The sequence below is a fragment of the Homo sapiens genome, chromosome 5 (genome assembly GCF_000001405.40).
Source record: "Homo sapiens chromosome 5, GRCh38.p14 Primary Assembly".
NCBI lineage: Eukaryota > Metazoa > Chordata > Mammalia > Primates > Hominidae > Homo > Homo sapiens.
Window position 1 is genome coordinate 64,537,568 of NC_000005.10, and position 18,497 is coordinate 64,556,064.

General features: G+C 37.4%; 1 protein-coding gene and 1 pseudogene across 3 annotated transcripts in view; both read left to right on the forward strand.

Moving 5' to 3' along the window:
- The window catches only part of RGS7BP (regulator of G protein signaling 7 binding protein), a 106,305-nt gene that overhangs the window by 31,553 nt on the left and 56,255 nt on the right, over positions 1-18,497 (forward strand). The gene's annotated exons all lie outside the window — the stretch shown is intronic.
- On the forward strand, positions 1,938-2,222 carry RN7SL169P (RNA, 7SL, cytoplasmic 169, pseudogene; annotated as a pseudogene).

An 18,497-nucleotide genomic window follows, 5' to 3' on the forward strand; every position in this document is an offset into this window, starting at 1 on the left:
CCTCTCCCCAGAAACTTGGCTAAAATCATGGTATTCAAGAGAAAGAGCCTAGGAATGTGAGTTTCTCTAAGTTCTATTCCTGGATCAAGACAGAGCCCCAGAAAGCTACATCATGGACCATTTTGCTTTAGATTATGATAGAAATTCCTTCACAGAGACATGATTTTAGTGTTAGACTCTTGACTTTCATTGATGATCCAGGGAAGAGTCTGTCATATGAAGAATATCTCTGCCTGCTCTGCTATGCTGCTAAAAGCATTCCATTATGCTATTCAAAGCCTGATAAATGAAGATCCATATGACAAACTTCTCTTAGTGCTAAAAATCTGCAGGCAGCCACATGGGAACACTGGGAAGAGTGGAAAAGACAGGAAAGAAAGAGGAAAGAACTCATAACCCTAGACAGAACTAATGTTTCATCCAAGTAAATAGAAAGCTCTTTTTTTAACCTCTTCTTTAACTTGTTTTCTTATGGATTTATGAATTTTAAAGTTGATAAACCTAAGAAGTATGCATTATTTTACCTACTTAGTGGAAACCATATACATAGCTAATTTTAATTAATATTATTATCAAAGATATGAATGCTTTTATAAAACAATCTTTAACTTTTTTCTGTCTCCCTAATTTTAAAAATTGGCTTAACTTACACACAATAAAATTCATTTTTTGTTGTACATTTCTATGAGTTTTGACAAATGTGTAGAGTTGTATAACCACTACCAACATCAAGATACAGAAGAGTTCCATCACCCCCAAAACATTCTCTCATGTTGCCACTTCATAGTCAATCCCTTCCCCTTTTCATAGCCCCGGCAAACTCTGATCTGTATTTTGTTCCTACTATTTTGTCTTTGTTTTGCCTTTGTTTTGTCTTTGTCAAAATATCATCTAAGCTAAATCAGAAGCATGTAGCCATTTTTTTTCCTTTTCTTTTCTTTTTTTTTTTCCTTTTCTTTTCTTTTTTTTTTTCCTTTTCTTTTTTTTTTTTTTTTTTTTTTTTTTTTGAGACAGACTCCTGCTCTGTCACCCAGGCTGGAGTGCAGTGGCACGATCTCAGCTCACTGCAACTTCTGCCCCCTGGGTTCAAGAGATTCTCCTACCTCAGCCTCCTGCGTAGCCGGGATTACAGGCACCCGCACCATGCCCAGCTAATTTTTGCATTGTTAGCAGAGATGAGGTTTCGCCAGGTTGGCCAGGCTGGTCTTGAACTCCTGACCTCAAGTGATCCACCCACCTTTGTTGGCCTCCCAAAGTGCTGGAATTACAGGCAACATGTAGCCTTTGAGTCTAGCTTCTTCCACTAGCCTAATTCATTTGAGATTCCACTCGATTCTACTTGAGATTCATCCACATTGTTGAATGCACATTCTTTTTTATTTGTTCTGTAGCATTCTGTTGTGCAGCTGTGCCCCAGTTTGTTTATCTATTCACTCTCAGTTGTTTCCAGTTTTAATGACATCTTCAGTACTACATATTGTTAGCTTTTGTTTGCTTTGCCCATTTTAAAAGTGTAGAGAGATATCTTGTGTTTTTAATTTGCGTTCCCCTAATGACTCGAGATGTGAAGAATCTGCTTATGTGCTATTTAGCATTCATCACCTTCTTAGTGAAGTGTCTGTTTAAGTCTTTGGCTTATTTTTCATTGGTTTGTTTGTTTTCTTACTATTGAGTTTTGAGAGTTCTTTATATATTCTGGATATGAGTCATTTGTCAGATATGTAATTTCATATTTTTTCCCAGTTTGAGATTTGTATTTTCATTTTCTTAACAGTGTTTTTCACAGAGCAAATTTTTAAAAATTTTGATAAACTAAAATTTACCAATTTTTGTCTATTATGGATTGTGCTTCTGGTGTCTTATTTAAGACCTCTTTGTCTAATCTAAGGCTACAAAGACTTTCTCTTATGTTTTCTTTTAGACGTTTTATAGTTTTTCCAGGTGCAGTGGTGCTGGCCTATAGTTCCAGCTACCCAGGAGGCTGAGGCAGAAAGCTTGCTTAAGCCCATTTCTGGGTTGTAGTTAACTATGCCTATCAGGTGTCTGTACTAAGTTTGGCATCAATATGGTGACCTCCCGGGACCTGACCACCAGGTTGCCTAAGGAGGGGTGAAACAGCCTAGGTTGTAAATGGAGCAGGTCAGAACTCCTGCGCTGATCATTAGTGGAATCGCACCTGTGAATAGCCACTGCATTTCACTCTGGGCAACATAGTGAAACCCTCTTTTAAAAAAAATTTAAAGTTTATTGTTGTATGTTTTACATTTGAGTTTGTGAACCCTTTTGAGCTAATTTTTGAACTAAGTATGATATGTAGGTTAAGTTCATATTTTAAAATATGAATGCCCAATGTTTCAGTATTATTTGTTGTTGAGGTTATCTGTTCTTCGTTCAACTGATTTGCACAATTTTTTTAAAAAATCAGTAAAATCTAGTTTTAATGAAGATTCTTTTTGATTTTAGAAAATTTTAAAAATTAAAGAGAGTAAAGCAGAAAAATATTACTTATAATATTATCTCCCAAAGAATAATCATTGATTATATTTTGATATTTTCTGTAGTTGATTTTTAAATTCCTTTATAGTTAAATAATATGCATTTTTACTGTAAAAATAATGTGTTTATTGCAGAAAGTTTAGAAATTACAGGGAAAATGCAAAGAATAAAATTAAAATTACATCCTCAAGTATATAATTTGTTGTTTTGTCTACATACATATTTTAATAAGATTGAACTCATGTTGTATGTACCACTTATAATCTTTTTTCATTTAACAGTATAATAAGTAATTTGCCATAACTTTGTTTTCTTTTTTTTAACCAACCAAACAAGCAGCAGTGAACTTCCCATATCTTTAAACTTGATAGACCATGTGTAGTGTTTTATGGACTATAATAAAATCTCCAATCATTTATCATTAATTTTCACTTTTTTCAATTATAAATATGTGTCAAATAATCCTACATAAAACTTTATAAATATGTCTGCTTTTTTCCTTGGTATAAATTTATAAAAGTAAAATACAAGTCAGAGAGTATTACTATATTGACCTCCAAAAAGATTATACTAATTTGTTTTCTTCAGTTCAAGTCCTCTGGGAACCAGACACTGAGATGAAATTAGAAATGCAAGATTATTATTGGGGGAACTCTTGTGAAGGATGAAGGGGAGAGAAAGCAGTGGGAAGACAGGATGGCTTTCATCAGGACAGACACTTGTGAAAGAACAGGCAGAAGAAAGGAGGGAGGGCTACAAAGAGCTGTGCAGCACAAAAAAAGCCTCAACCAGGCCAAGGGGAAGCCCCTGAGCAAAGATGACCTGCTAGAGGAGTCCTGCATTGAACAGAGTGACCCAGTTCTAGTGATATCACCATGCTTAGTCAGTGGCTAGTGATTCTGGAGAGCTCGGTGTTGGCATGAACGCTTTGGTGGGTGTGTTGGTCCATTCTTGCATTGCTATAAAGAAATACCTGAGACTGGATAATTTATAAAGAAAAGAGGTTTAATTGGCTCATGGTTCTGCAAGCCATATACGAAGCATAGTGCCAGCCTCTGCTTCTGCTGGTGACGGCCCCAGGAAGCTTACAATCATGGCAGAAGGCAAAGGAGAGCCAGCATGCCACATGACAAGAGTGGGAACAAGAGAGAGGGGAGGGGGAGGTCCCAGATGCTCTTCAACAACCAGATCTCATGGGAACTAACTGAGGGAGAACTCACTCATTACCAAGGGGATGGTGCTAAACCATTCATGAGGGATCCATTCCTATGATCCAATCACCTCCCACCAGATCCCACCTCCAATACTGGGAATCACATTTCAACATGAGGTCTGGAGGGACTAATATCCAAGCCAAGCCATATCAATGGGTCCCCAAAACGCAGCAGCTGTAGGTGGTGAGCTCACGTACCCTGCACAGCAGTTTCTCTCTTCCATGTCTGCCACATTCACTTCCTACCAGCAGTGGAGATGACAGCAACTGCATTCCAGGATCCTGGTCATCACCATAGGGTATTCTCATCATTCTTAAGTGTGGCCAATGTAATACACAGAAAATTGTATCTCATTTTTTCACTGAGTTTTCTTAATTAGAATGTAGTTGTACTTACAGTTATTTACACTTTGTATTTCTCCATTTGACAATTATTTGTTTATCACCTTTGCCATTTTCCTACAGTAGCATTATTTTTTTTCAGTGTTTTTTTTTACTCAGTGTACTAAATCCACCTCTGTCAAATACATTGCAAATACATTCCCCCAGTTTGTTCTTTGTCTACCAATCCTATCTCTGCTGGTTCTTCTTTTGATTTTTTTAAATTAATTAATTTGCTTAGAAAGAACTTCCCTAAGTAAAAATCAGAAATCATTTCATATATTTTCTATTCTAGTTTTTTTTACGATTTTTCCATCTTATTTTTTGTTCTAGTATATAATCTGAGGTACGAATCCGTGTATTTCTAGATATTAACGAATTTTCACAGCGCTATTTTTTAAAATAATCTATCCTCTCTCTGTCTGTTCTGACATGCTGCATTTGCCATCTTCTTATTCCTTATATATACTTCGTGTTAACGAAAGAGTTGAAAGTTTAGGGTAGACTTGTCAGTATCATACGTCTTACCCAACACCAGACTTTACTAATGATACAAAGGTACTGGCAAGAACCAACATGGAAGAGTTACTGAAGGTGCCTGAGTCTACCAGATGCAGCTCCCCAGAACTTCCCCTTGTCCTGCATTAGGACATGCTTTGGTTCAGAGTAACAGCTGAGTTCTGAACAATATGTGAACATGCTGTTTTTTAAAAAATGCCATTTTGGTTTGGGGGTTCCCAGTTTTATATTCCTTCAGTTAGATTAAAAATGCTTACAGGACTACCTCCCAATCTCTAGCCAGCCATGACCCATAAATCCATAAACTACCACTTTATTTATAATATGTAGTCTAGACAGATCAAGTCTATGCTGCCCAAAAACGTTATTTTAGATAGGGACTCTCTGGTATCTTTCCACTAGTTTAAAAGCCATAGCATGTTTACAAGGAGCCCTGGTTGAGGTCAACCATTTTCCCCAAGTAGGGAGGAAGGAGCCTCAGGGCTGCTGTTAACCCTTTGTGTTCCATGTGGACATGGCTTGATTTACCAGTAAAAGGAAACATTTTACATCTCATCCAGCCCAATGAATTGAATAATCTGAGCTCTATGTCTAGAATTCATCAGCATTTTATAGCACAGCATTTTCATCACAAGAATGGGCAAATAAGTAAATACGAAGTTATTAAGTACATGATGCTTGTCTCTTTTATATGCACTGTCTCCTTTTGGCCCCATACGACTCTGTGAAGTCAATGTTTGGGGAGAACTCCTTTACCCTCTTCCAGATATTTTCTTTCTTGTGGAAGTAGACTCATTAATGTCATATTTATGATCTTTTTGAGCCATACAAGGAGGCATATCTCCATCTTGAAAATGGCACGATATTGATAGTTCATATTTAAAAGTAAGTGCTTAGAGTATATATGATATATACAGGAATCTATCTACAAAAGAAAAATGGTGGAGTAATCACTCTGAGGACACTCATAGGAGACTTATGTTAGAAAAGACCTCTACTGGTAAAATATGACCATGTTATCTATATTTTGTGTATTGAGCCAGACTGTTGAATGTTGGGAGCTTACTTTTGTCAACATCAGCCAAGACAGAATCAAAAGTAGAACATTTCACTCTAAAGTAGACAAGATTCTTTTAGTTGCAAGTGACAGAAACTAATGCTGAATCGGCTTAGGCCAAAAAGAGAATTAATTGGTGCAAAAACCCCATGAAAGTGTTGAAACTAAATATGGGAAGGACAAGCATAAGGGTAACTTTCACAACTAACTGAATCCAGAACTTAAACACCATGAGGATTCTCTGTTTCTCATTTCTGTGACAGTTATCTCTCACTCAAGACAGCTCCCTCTACCTGGAGAAAAAAGTTTAAAAAAAAATCCCAGAAAAGAAACAGATTTGTGCCCATCTTTGGACTAATCCGTTAGGGGCAGGGGACAGATATTATGATTAACACAGCTTAAGTCCAATGTCCAGGTATAACCAATCACCTGTGGATAGGGTGGCAGGGTCATGCAAGAAAATGACAGGTTGTAGGAGCTGCATAAGTGGAGCAGGGAGAGTCATGTTCCCAGGGGCTGCTGTGCCCCAACAAAAGTGAAGGTTGAGTAGGGCTGGAGCAAGGGTGTCCACTCTATCTTCCCTATAAATAATGAAAAGAAAAGGGAAGGGCAGAGGCCATTAAACTGTAGACTTCAATCACTAACTTTAGAGCCTGAGGTCTAGTTTCTGTGGCCAAAATAAAATCCCTGGCATCTCTATACAACAGGTAGACTTTCAGCATTTTTTAAAAACTTTTCAATGGTTCCCTTTCCAGAAATGCCAAAAAGATGATGCTTTAGGCACCTTTGGATTTACCGATCTCTGTTAATAGCAGAGTTACATGTGTAAGTGAACTAATGATATTTGATATATAGTACTTTAGAAATGGTTAACTTACTCTTCATTCATTCAACAAATACTGAGCCAATGTGTCAGGCATTGTATTAAGCACCGGGGCACAAAAGTGAGCAAGACACAGTTCTTGCCTTCATAAAGCTTACGCTGCAGTGGGAGCAAAAGAAGCAAACAGGTGGTGAAAATACAGTATGATGTGTATCATCCTAGAAGATGTACTGGGATCTCACAGGGATGGTACTTAATGCTGGTTAGAGATTTTAGGGAGGATTTCCCAAAGAAAGTGATATAGATATCTAAGATGAGACTTGAAGATGTATAGGAGGCCAGGCATTGTGGCTCCTGTCTGTAATCCCAGCACATTGGGAGGCTGAGGCAGGAGGATTGCTTGAGACCAGGAGTTTGAGACCAGCCTGGGCAACATAGTGAGACCCTGTCTCTGAAAAAAAAAAAAAAATAGCCAAGGGTAGTGGTGCATGCCTATAGTCCTAGCCACCTGGGAAGCTGAGGCAGGAGGGTCACTTGAGCCCAGGAGTTCAAGGTTGCAGTAAGTTTTGATCATGTAACTGCACTCCAGCCGGGGCAACCAAGCGAGACCCTGTCTCTTAAGAAGAAGAAGAAAAAAAGACCATATACTAGTTGGTAAGGGAAAAGGAGTTGAAAAAAGTGTGATGACTAGAAGAAGAACATATACAAAGGCTCTGGGATGCAATAAATCATGGTATATTGAATCTAAGGCCGTAGTAATCAATGAGCAGAAGAAAATGACTAGGCTGAAGAGGTAAGCAGGAACCATGTTGTAAGACACATTAAAGAGTTGGCTTTTGGCCGGGCGTGGTGGCTCATGCCTGTAATCCCAGCACTTTGGGAGACCAAGGCAGGTAAATCACGAGGTCAGGAGATTGAGACCGTACTGGCCAACATGGCGAAAACCCCGTCTCTACTAAAAATACAAAAGTTAGCCGGGTGTGGTGGTGGGCACCTGTAGTCCCAGCTACTCAGGAGGCTGAGGCAGGAGAATAGCTTGAACCCAGGAAGAAGAGGTTGCAGTGAGCTGAAATCATGCCACTGCACTCCAGCCTGGGTGACAGAGTGAGACAATGTCTTTGAAAAAAAAAAAAAACTCATAGGTAGGAATTGAACAATGAGAACACATGGACACAGGAAGGGGAACATCACACACCGGGGCCTGTTGTGAGATGGGGGAGTGGGGAGGGATAGCATTAGGAGACATACCTGATGTTAAATGATGAGTTAATGGGTGCAGCACACCAACATGGCACATGTATAATATGTAACAAACCTGCACGTTGTGCACATGTACCCTAAAACTTAAAGTGTAATAATTAAAAAAAAAAAGAGTCGGCTTTTATCCTGAGGGCAATAGAGAACCATTGAAGAGTTTTAAGCAAAACAATAATATAATTAAATTTGCATCTTAGAAAGTTTACTCTAGCTATACTGTAGAGAATAAGTGAAAAGGGGGCAAAACTTAGGAGGATGCCTGCATAATTTATGTGGGCAGTGATGTGAACCTGAACTTCATTAGTGAGAGTAGAAAGAACCGGAGGAAATTAAGTATAATTCAAATGGTAGATTCAAAGTAGTTAACTGCATCTAAGAAAAGAAGGCAATAAATTAAAGATAACAGGATAACTCATTAAATTCCAGCTTGGTCACCTGAGTAAATGGGAATGCGATTCATTGAGCTAGGGCATATGAAAGGAGGTTTAGGGGTGAGATAATAATATGGAATTTGGGGAACTTGTGAGAAATCAAAGTGGAAATGCCTAATAGGCTGCTAGATAAATGGATCTGGACCTTGGTAAAGTGCTCTGGGCCGGAAATAAATGTTACAAGTATTAATGAAAGTAACCGGGTTTGAGACCAGCCTGACTAATATGGTGAAACCCCATCTCTGCTAAAAATACAAAAATTAGCCAGGCGTGGTGGTGTGCACCTGTAGTCCCAGCTACTCAGGAGGCTGAGACAGGAGAATTGTTTGAACCCTGGAGGGCGAGGTTGCGGTGAGCCAAGATCACGCCACTGCACTCCAGCCTGGGCGACAGAACAAGACTCTGTCTCAAAAACAAAACAAAACAAAACAAAACAAAAGTCTGACCAATAAGGTGAAACCCCTTCTCTACTAAAAATACAAAAATTAGCTGGGAATGGATGAGGTGGTCAGGGAGACTGTGTAATGTGAGATGAAGAGTGCTAGGGCAGAACCCTGAAGATCACCAAGATTAATGAACAGACAGAGATAAGACCCTGGAGACCAAGAAGCAGCACCCTGAGAGGTAGGAGTAAAACAACGAAAGACAGCGTCACAGAAGCAAGGAGTAGAGAATTTCAAGGAGGAGCAAGAGAGGTCAAAAGTGTGAAATGCTCCCAACAGGTGATAAAATAGCCGAAAACAGTCCCTTACATTTAATAGCAAGGATATTAGGGACCCTGAAAATGACCATTTCAGGGAAGGGAAGAGGACAGTGGTTGAAACAAGATGGGGAGGTGAGAATCAAAGAAGGTGAACTCAGACATCTTTGAAAGAACTTTGTCTCTAAAGGGAAGGAAAGATAGGCAGATACTGAGAAGGGACACAGATTAAGAATTTTTTTTTAACATGGGAGAAACTTGAATATATTTATTCCAACTTTCATGCAGTTAAAATCATCAGCAGTAGAATTTATTGTCTCTTATGAAATTAGCAGGATTTATGTACAGTAAAGCAAGTCAATGAACTAATCTATGTATATAGTTCATTTATTTCCTACATATGTATACACCTGTGTAGCCACCATTCAGACAAAAATGTAGAGCATTTCCAGCACCCCAGAAGGTTCCCTCATGCCCCTTCTCATCAACCTCAACCCCAAGAGGAATTCAACCTCAACCCCAATCAAAATTCTGACTTCCATCACCATACTTTTGCCAGTTCTTAAACTTCATGTAAAAGAAATCTTTCAGCATATCTGTGAGATTCATCCATGTGTTGCAAGTAGCAGTAGTTTTCTTCTTTATTACTGTATTTCATTGTATATATGTGTTACAATTTATCCATTTTTCTATTGAATGACATTTGAGTTGTTTCCAGTTTGGAGCTGTTGTGAAATAAGCTGCTATGAATATTCTTGTATATATCTTCTGATGGACAAAGATTTTCAGTTCTCTTAGGTAAATATCTAGAAACAAAATTCTGGAGCATAGGGTTGATATATATTTAACTCGAATAAATAAAGCTGAACAGTTTTTAAAGGGGTAGAATCAATTGCACTCCCTAAAGCAGTGTATGGAAATTCTTCTCACCAAAGCTTGGTGTTGTCTGTCTTTTTAATTTTAGCCTCTGGTGAGCAGACATTTTGAAATTCAGGTTTTCTGAGATTATAAACCACAGCTTCTCAGCTGGTACTTATAACAATTTCAAAGTTTCCTACCTTAAGTATTTCCCATCATTGGCTACCACCTTTCCAGTAAAACAAACCTAATATTAAAAACATGCAAACATAATTCAGGATATTTTATGAGAAATAAGTAATTTAATTATCCATTAAAGTTATCTAACTATAACATAATGATCAGAAAAATTCTGTCAGAAATAGTCTCACCCGTAATTTGAATAGGTAGGAAATATTATCATCTAATATATTAGAAAGAAGCAAATAGCTTCCATGATGATGGAAGTTTCTCATTGATGCATCTATTCCAATTTACATTTTGTATAAGTAGTAAGTTTAGAGGTAATGGTTCTCTTTCCTCTTCTCATTTTTATTTGAATGCTACATTTGAAGTTATCATTCACTATAATCAGAAGTATAGACTTACTTTGAAGAATGCTAATAGGCCTTTTGGGGAAAAATAATAAAATCAACTATTGACATAAAACTGACTACTGATTCTTCTATATTTTGAATCATGGTCTTTTCCTCTTTGATGAAGTTTCTGTTTGATGCAATATCTAAAACCTGACAAAGGAAATAAATATATGACAATTCATATAACATTATCCATAATTATTTACCGCAGCAATATAACTTATTATTATCTAACAATATAACTTATTGTTGCAGTAAATAAATATTTCTGTTAATATTATATACAATATTGTCAATATCATCAAATAATTTATTCAATTCTCACAAGTATCATGGTAAATATATTTAGAAATCTGTTTAAACGTTTCACCAAAATAAGATAAGTTACAGATTTAAGTATAAATTCTGAAGTATTAAAGTACTAGAAAATAATAGAGACACATATTTATACAATTGAGTCAGAAAGGCCTTTATAAAAGTGACACTGAAACCAGTGAACTTAACAAAAATGTTTGACACGTTTGCCTATATAATAATTTAAAATTTCTGTACGCAAGTTAAATTACACCACATAGAAACATAAATTCAAGATTTGAAGTATTTTACTGGACAACCAACCTGTTCTCTTTTTTATTTTTTTACTTTCTGAGATGGAGTCTCGCTCTGTCACCCAGGCTGGAGTGCAGTGGCGTGATCTCGGCTCACTGCAACCTCCGCCTCCTGGTTTCAAGCAATTCTGCCTCAGCCTCCTGAGCAGCTGGGATTACAGGCACCCACCACTACATCTGGCTAATTTTTGTATTTTTAGTAGAGACGGGGTTTCATCATGTTGGCCAGGCTGGTCTCGAACTTCTGACCTCAAGTGATCTGCCCACCTCGGCCTCCCAAGGTGCTGGGATTATAAGCATGAGCCACCACTCCTGGCCTTGTTCTTGTTTTTCTAAAAAAAGGCAAAGTCGAAAGCCCTTTCCTTTTTTTTTTTTTTTTACTAAGTACCCTAATTACTTCCCAAAGACCTCATCACTAAATACCATCACATTGTGGGTTAGGACTTCAACATATAAATTTGTCGGGGGACACAAGCTTTCAGTCACACACATTCCATTTTTGGCCTTCCAAAATTTGTATGCTTCTCTCACGCAAAATACATTCCATCCCAATAGCTCTGAAAGTCTTAACTCATTCCAGCATCACCTCTAAATTTTAAAGTCCAAGGTCTCATCTAAATAACACCTAAATCAGATATGAATGAGAGTTGAGGTATAATTCATCCTGAGGCAGAATTCCTCGCCAGCTATATATCTGTGAAAACAGACAAGTTATGTACTTCCAAAATACAATGATGTGGCAGACACAGGCTAGATATTCCCGTTGCAAAAGGGAGAGATAGATAGGAAAAAAGGAAGGGGTGACAGGTCCCAATCAAGTCCAAAGTTTAGCAAAACAAATTCCATTAGATGTTAAGGCTTGGGAATAATCCTCTCTGGTTCAATGCTCTGTCCTCCAGGTCAACTGGGTGGCAGAGTCAGCCTATGGCTCCAGGTGGGGGTCCTGCCCCCATGGCTCTGCCAAGCAGTTCTGCCCTCAAGGCTTCAGGCACAGGCCATCTGGCCTGTTGATACTGAGGCAGTGGCCTTGAAATTTCTGAATCACCTTCAGGGTCATTTTTTCTTCTTCTTGAAGAATATCACACATGGCTGAATAGCTTGATCATTCCCTCCTGTCAAGTCTGAAAAGTCTGACAGCTTTCCTTCATTTTGTCCTGTCTCCATCCCCTTCTGTTCAAACTGGCAGTGCTTCTGCTCATATAATCCCATAAGCTCTTTATCAAGTGATGGTCCAGCCACACCCTTGGTGTTCTCTTCAGAACAAGCTTTCTCATTATTTTTTATAATATGGGTAGGCTGAGAATTTTCCAAATCCTCAAGTTCTGGTTTCTTTTTGCTAAACAATTCCTTCTTCAATTCATCTCTCTTCTTTTACATTTTACTGTAAGCACTCAGAGGAGCCAAGTCACTCCTTCAACACTTAGAAATCTTTTCAGCTAAATACCCAATGTCATCGCTTGGTAGTTCTACCTTCCACAAAACACGAGAAAACAGTTCAGCCAAGTTTTTTGTTACTTTATAACAAGGATCATCTTTCCTGCAGTTTCCAAAATATGTTCCTCATTTCTGTCTGATACCTTACCAGAATCACCCTTAACCTCCATTTCTGGCATGTACATTGAAACTCTTCCAGCCTCTACCCATTACCCAGTTCCAAAGCCACTTCCACATGTTTAGGTATTTGTTATAGCAGTCTGCTCTGACTGCCATAACAAAATACCACAGACCAGGTGGCTTAAACAACAGACACTGATTTTCTCACAGTTATGAAAGCTGAACATTCAAGATCAGGATGCCAGCATAGTTGAGAGCCAGGGCTCTTTTCCTGGCTTGCAGATGGCCACTATCTCACTGTATTCTCACTTGGCAGAGTGAAAGAGAGAACAAGCTTTCTGATGTCTCTTTTTCTAAAGGCACTAACCCCTCAGACTAGGGCCCCACCCTTATGACCTCATCTAACCCTCATCTAAATACCCCATCTCCAAATACCATCATCACATTGACAGTTACAGCTTTAACATATGAATTTGGTGAGGGGATTCAGGCCATAATGTAGAATATTTCTCACTTTGTAAAACAAATGCATTTTTTTAATTTTATTATTATTATACTTTAAGTTTTAGGGTACATGTGCACAATGTGCAGGTTTGTTACATATGTATACATGTGCTATGTTGGTGTGCTGCACCCATTAACTCATCATTTAGCATTAGGTATATCTCCTAATGCTATCCCTCCCCCCTCCCCCAACCCTGCAACAGTCCCCAGTGTGTGATGTTCCCCTTCCTGTGTCCATGTGTTCTCATTGTTCAATTCCCATCTATGAGTGAGAACATGCGGTGTTTGGTTTTTTGTCCTTGCGATAGTTTGCTAAGAATGATGGTTTCCAGTTTCATCCATGTCCTTACAAAGGACATGAACTCATCATTTTTTATGGCTGCATAGTATTCCATGGTGTATATGTGCTGCATTTTCTTAATATATTAAAAATGAAGTGTTCAAAATTATATAAATATTATTTTCTAAAGCTTTTAAACCAGAATACAATCATAGCAGCAATTACCCATATTGAATGCTGGCTCAACTGAGGTTTCATTTCCTTGAAACACAAGTCATTTCTACCTACTCTCTGTATTGGGTTTTCTGCTTATTTGTCACCCATATTCAAGAATGTTCCCCCTTCTGCCAACACAGTGTTAAAACAGACAAAGATTACTGTCTATAGAAGCATCCTGTGTCTTAAGGATTTTTTTTATTTTTTTATTTATTTTTTATTTTATTTTTTTTTTTTTGAGATGGAGTCTCACTCTGTCTCCCAGCCTGGAGTGCAGTGGCGCAATCTTGGCTCACTGCAACCTCTGCCTCCCCAATTCAAGCAATTCTCCTGCCTCAGCCTCCCGAGTGGCTGGGATTACAGATGTGTGCCATGACGCCTGCTTAATTTTTGTATTTTTAGTAGAGACAGGGTTTCACCATTTTGGCCAGGCTGGTCTCAAACTCCTAACCTCAAGCCATCAGCCGGCCTTAGCCTCCTAAATTGTGTGTCTTAAGGATTTTTATGGGAGTCACCCTATATTAAGACTATAGAGTGTGCTTCAATTCATCTTTAGACATCAAGTATTTAGAAAAAATATTTCAAATCAGCACTTGACTATTAAGACCAAAGGGATTATTCTAAAGAGCTTCTGGCCGTTTTTAGGTCTGGAAAACACAGCATGTTTTTCTGCATTTTGTTGAAATTTCTTTCTTTCCTTTTATTATATGTTAAGCAGTTATTAATAATTACTTTGTCCATTATATATTAGTATTCTATTCTTTATAGCTAATCTAAAATCTTTTACTTTTTAAATTTTAAGATCACTTTTCAATTGTTCCAATTACATATCATCTGGTTCATATATAGTTTCTTCTAAAAATATATTTGTTCAGCTGACATCCTTACAGTAAGTTCATCAGTATACTAAAAACAGAAGCAGGTTAGCTTGACAACTGCATGTTTGATACCTTATAAACTGGATTAGAATTTGTATTAGAAGCTGGATATGTGCCTTTATCAAAATTTTTGAAAAAATAAGGCATCTCTTCACTTTTTATCTGCATAACTAACTTTCCTTATTTTCAAGGTATATTTTAAAGTGTATTCAACACTCAATAAAATATGTCTTTTGATGATCACAAATGGTGATAATGTGGTCTAATGTAAACAGTCTAGAAAAATTTATCCCCTAAATAACATCTCCTAAAATGGTATTTTAAACTGTATCTATTAGAAAAAATTTCTGTTCTTATTTTCAGAAATGGTTACTCTTTTTTCTTCTCCCAATTCTGATTATTTTTTCCAAAGTCAGTAATATTTTCTAAATAGCTTTCCAAAACTTAGTCAGTTTTTAGACTATCTTAACTACTTCTGACATTTTCTTAATTATTTAACTTATGAAGTAGAAAGTATCTTATTGAATTTGAGGGAATACTCTTTTCTTTTTCTTGTTTTCTTTCATCTTTGTACTAATTTCTCAACAAAGGAGAATTAGAACTGACTCGACATACCTAACATATCTTCATTTTGAATTGCCTCTATACATGAAATAAGTGTTTGTCCTGATTTGACATAATCTGGAATGAGAATTTCCACTCTGCATCATCAACTTTTATCACCTGGGTCTGAATTTAGATTGTGGCTTTCTGGCCTTGTAAATGTTGCTATTTTCTTTCCATGGTGTCTATTGACTATTTTGTCAATTTAGAGGCTTTTGATTCTGTTTTGTTTTGTTTGAGACAGGGTCTTGCTATGTTGCCCAGGCTGGTCTCAAACTCCTGGGCTCAAGTAACCCTCCTGCCTCAGCCTCCCAAGTAGTTGATTCTGTTTTGAAGTAACATGGGACAGTTGCAAAAGCCCAGATAATTTGAAATCAGGATGTTTTTGTTTCACAGTCTTGTGCTGTCCAAAAGAAAATAAATTATCCGGACTTACTTCTTTTCTTCCTCCCTTAATAATGGCTTCCATGGGAGAATCAATGTCAGATTTGCACCTACAACCTATAACACTTAAATGTCAGTCCTTATTAATGAACCTCTAGTATTCTTGTTTTTTAGCCTGCCTTTTATTTTTGGAGCTTTATAGTTAATCTTTCAGATGACTTAGTGTAACTTGAATCTGTAGGACTTCCTTCCTTTCTTTCTTTCTTTTTTTTTTTTTTTTTTTGAAACGGAGTCTCACTCTGTCACCCAGGCTGGAGTGCAGTGGCATGATCTTGGCTCACTGCAACCTCTGTCTCTCAGGTTCAAACAATTCTCCTGCCTCAGCCTCCTGAGTAGCTGGGATTACAGGCATGTGCCACTACACCCAGCTAGTTTTTGTATTTTTGTAAAGATGGGGTTTCACCACATTGGCCAGGCTGGTCTTGAATGCCTGACCTCAGGTGATCCACCTGCCTCGGTCTCCCAAAGTGCTAGGATTACAAGCGTGAGACACCATGCCCAGCCCCTTCCTTTCTTCCTTTATTCTTTTCTACATTCTTTCTTTCTTTTCTTTCAAAATGACACTTTTTTTTTCAAAATGTCAGCCAACATTTTGATAGCATGCTTGCACCCAATGTTTAGTGTAGTAGAAAGAGCCTAGGCTTTGGGGTTACAGTACCAATCCTAGGCTTCATAGTTCTATGACCCCTGAGAATTAACCAAGTCTCAGTTTCCTCATCTTTAAAATATTAATAATATCTATACATCATAAGGTCTGTGTAAGATTGAGTGAGATAATGTATCTATTTCTGGCAAGACACTGGTTAAATAACCCTAAAACAAACAAGATAGTTAAGTTGTACAATGTATACAAACACCCTCTTAAATGTATAACTAAGCTCACAGGAAAGGAAGAGAAATCTTCAGGGTCAAAAATGAATAGGGAACAAAAAGTGAGTTGAAAGGCAGCATGGTCTGATACTATGGCTTCCCTGAGGGAGTTCGTTGACTCCATTAAAAAGGGGCTTGTAGTTAGAAGATCATATGGGAGCAGGAATTAGAACTGAGATATACACATAAAGTCATTTGCTGGATATCTGCTCTTTGACCCTCCAAATCTGCTCTTTGCCCTTCTCCACCCTATATCATCCCACTCCCTTATCCTCTGGATTTCAGTTTGGCTTGGTCAATCGGGAACTCTGGCAGGACATTGGAAGGAAGGAGAAGAGTTAAGCCAGGGTATTTATTCTCCCGTTTCCCTCTCTATAAGGTTATTTTGAACTGTCTCCCATAACTTCAGGTCACTGTTCTACACAAGGAGGCCTGCACTATACAACTGTTTCTCCTTTCAGGTGCCAGGAACCTCTTCCTCCTCTCATCCTTCGTAGTGACAGCACCATACAGCCAACCTCAAATTCCTTGGTGTTTCTGTTTGCCACCCATACCTTTGTAATTACTCCCTGTGTAAAGAGATGCTCTTCAAATCATCCATTTGTCTCCTGTTACAATTCTGATTCAAGCCAGGATTTTCAAAGGGCTACATGCTTAGTGAAGAGGTAGGGAAAATGTACCACCAGCCCAAGAAGATAACTAGGATGTTTGCTTGACTTGGCATCCTAAGAATCATGACTATGCTGTTGTTATAGTCCAAAAGCAATACATCTCGGGAATCTACAGATAAAGTCTGCTGAATATGAGATCACAAGTTAAATTGTAAAACACACAAGGAAAGAATCTAGCAAAGGTGAAAGTGAACATGCAAAGTCAACAGCAGGATTTAATCCTTCAAGTGCTTTAGTTAATACCATTACCTGTTAATGACTTAGAATAAATATGTCAAATTATTAAAGACACAAGAGAAGAGTTGAAAACATGAGACAAAAGAGTATGTAAAAAGACCAAGCATACTTGGAAAATAACTCGTATAAATTCTAAAAATGAATATATATATACAAAATATATGATTATTAAAATTAAAACCTAATGGGTATATTATATACAGCTAAAAAAGGTAAACTGGAAGATGGATCTGAAGAAAATGCAACAGAGAAATGTAAAGATATAGAAAATATAAAAAGGGATTAAGAAGACATGAAGACCAGAATGAGAAGATCCAACATATTTCTAATAAGAGTTTCAGAACAGGAAAATAGACAATGGAATGATACCACAAAATACTAAGGACAAAGGAAGTTTTTAAAAGCAACAGGAGAGAAAAGACATTTCCTACAGAGGAACTACAATACAATTAAGCTTGAAGTGAGTCTCTCCACAACAAAAATAGAAGCCAGATGACAACAGAATAAAATGTTTAGCAGATTACAGCCAATGAACACCTTGCCACACTTCGCAATTGGCTGTTTTCTTATGAACTAAAGGAGCTCATCACATTTTAGACAAACATATTTGTCTGTTTTACTCAATGTGTATTTGTTTTGTTTCAATAGTAGTTTATTTTTTACATAGTTGAACCTGTTGATCTTGACTAAAGTTTTTTTAACCTTCAAACAAGAAACTTTAAGTAAAAATGCAAAAATGTTTTAATGCTTACTGAAAAATACAATGGGGGAAACTGCACTGAAATTCTAGGGGATATAAATTAGAAAGAAATTAAGGAGTATATAAAATTAGTAGGAACTATTGCCAGAGAAAAAGAAAATGATTACCTGGGATTTATAGCAAGGACTTGAGCTGAAAATGGACAAAGGGTATGAACAGACAATTGAAATAAACAAACACAAGGAAAAATATTCAACTGTGTTAATAGTTGAAAAAGCACATGGTAAAACAAGAAATTGAATTTCACACATTGTAAATTAACAAAATGTCAAAATTTAAAAACATTCAGTTCTGGTAATTCTGTGGTAAAATTGGTACACATATGCTACACAATGCTAGAAACATTGAAGTTTAAATTTACATAATTTAAATTTGAAATTCAGTTTCTTAGTCCACCAGCCCATTTTAAGTATTCCTTAGCCACATGAAGCTAGTGGCTACCATATTGCTCAGCACAGGAAAATATTTCCATCATCGCAGGAAATTCTGTCGATTTGTGCTGCTCTAGAGAATAGGTGTAGAAGTAGAGTTGATGGGTTGTTGATATGTACAGCTTCCA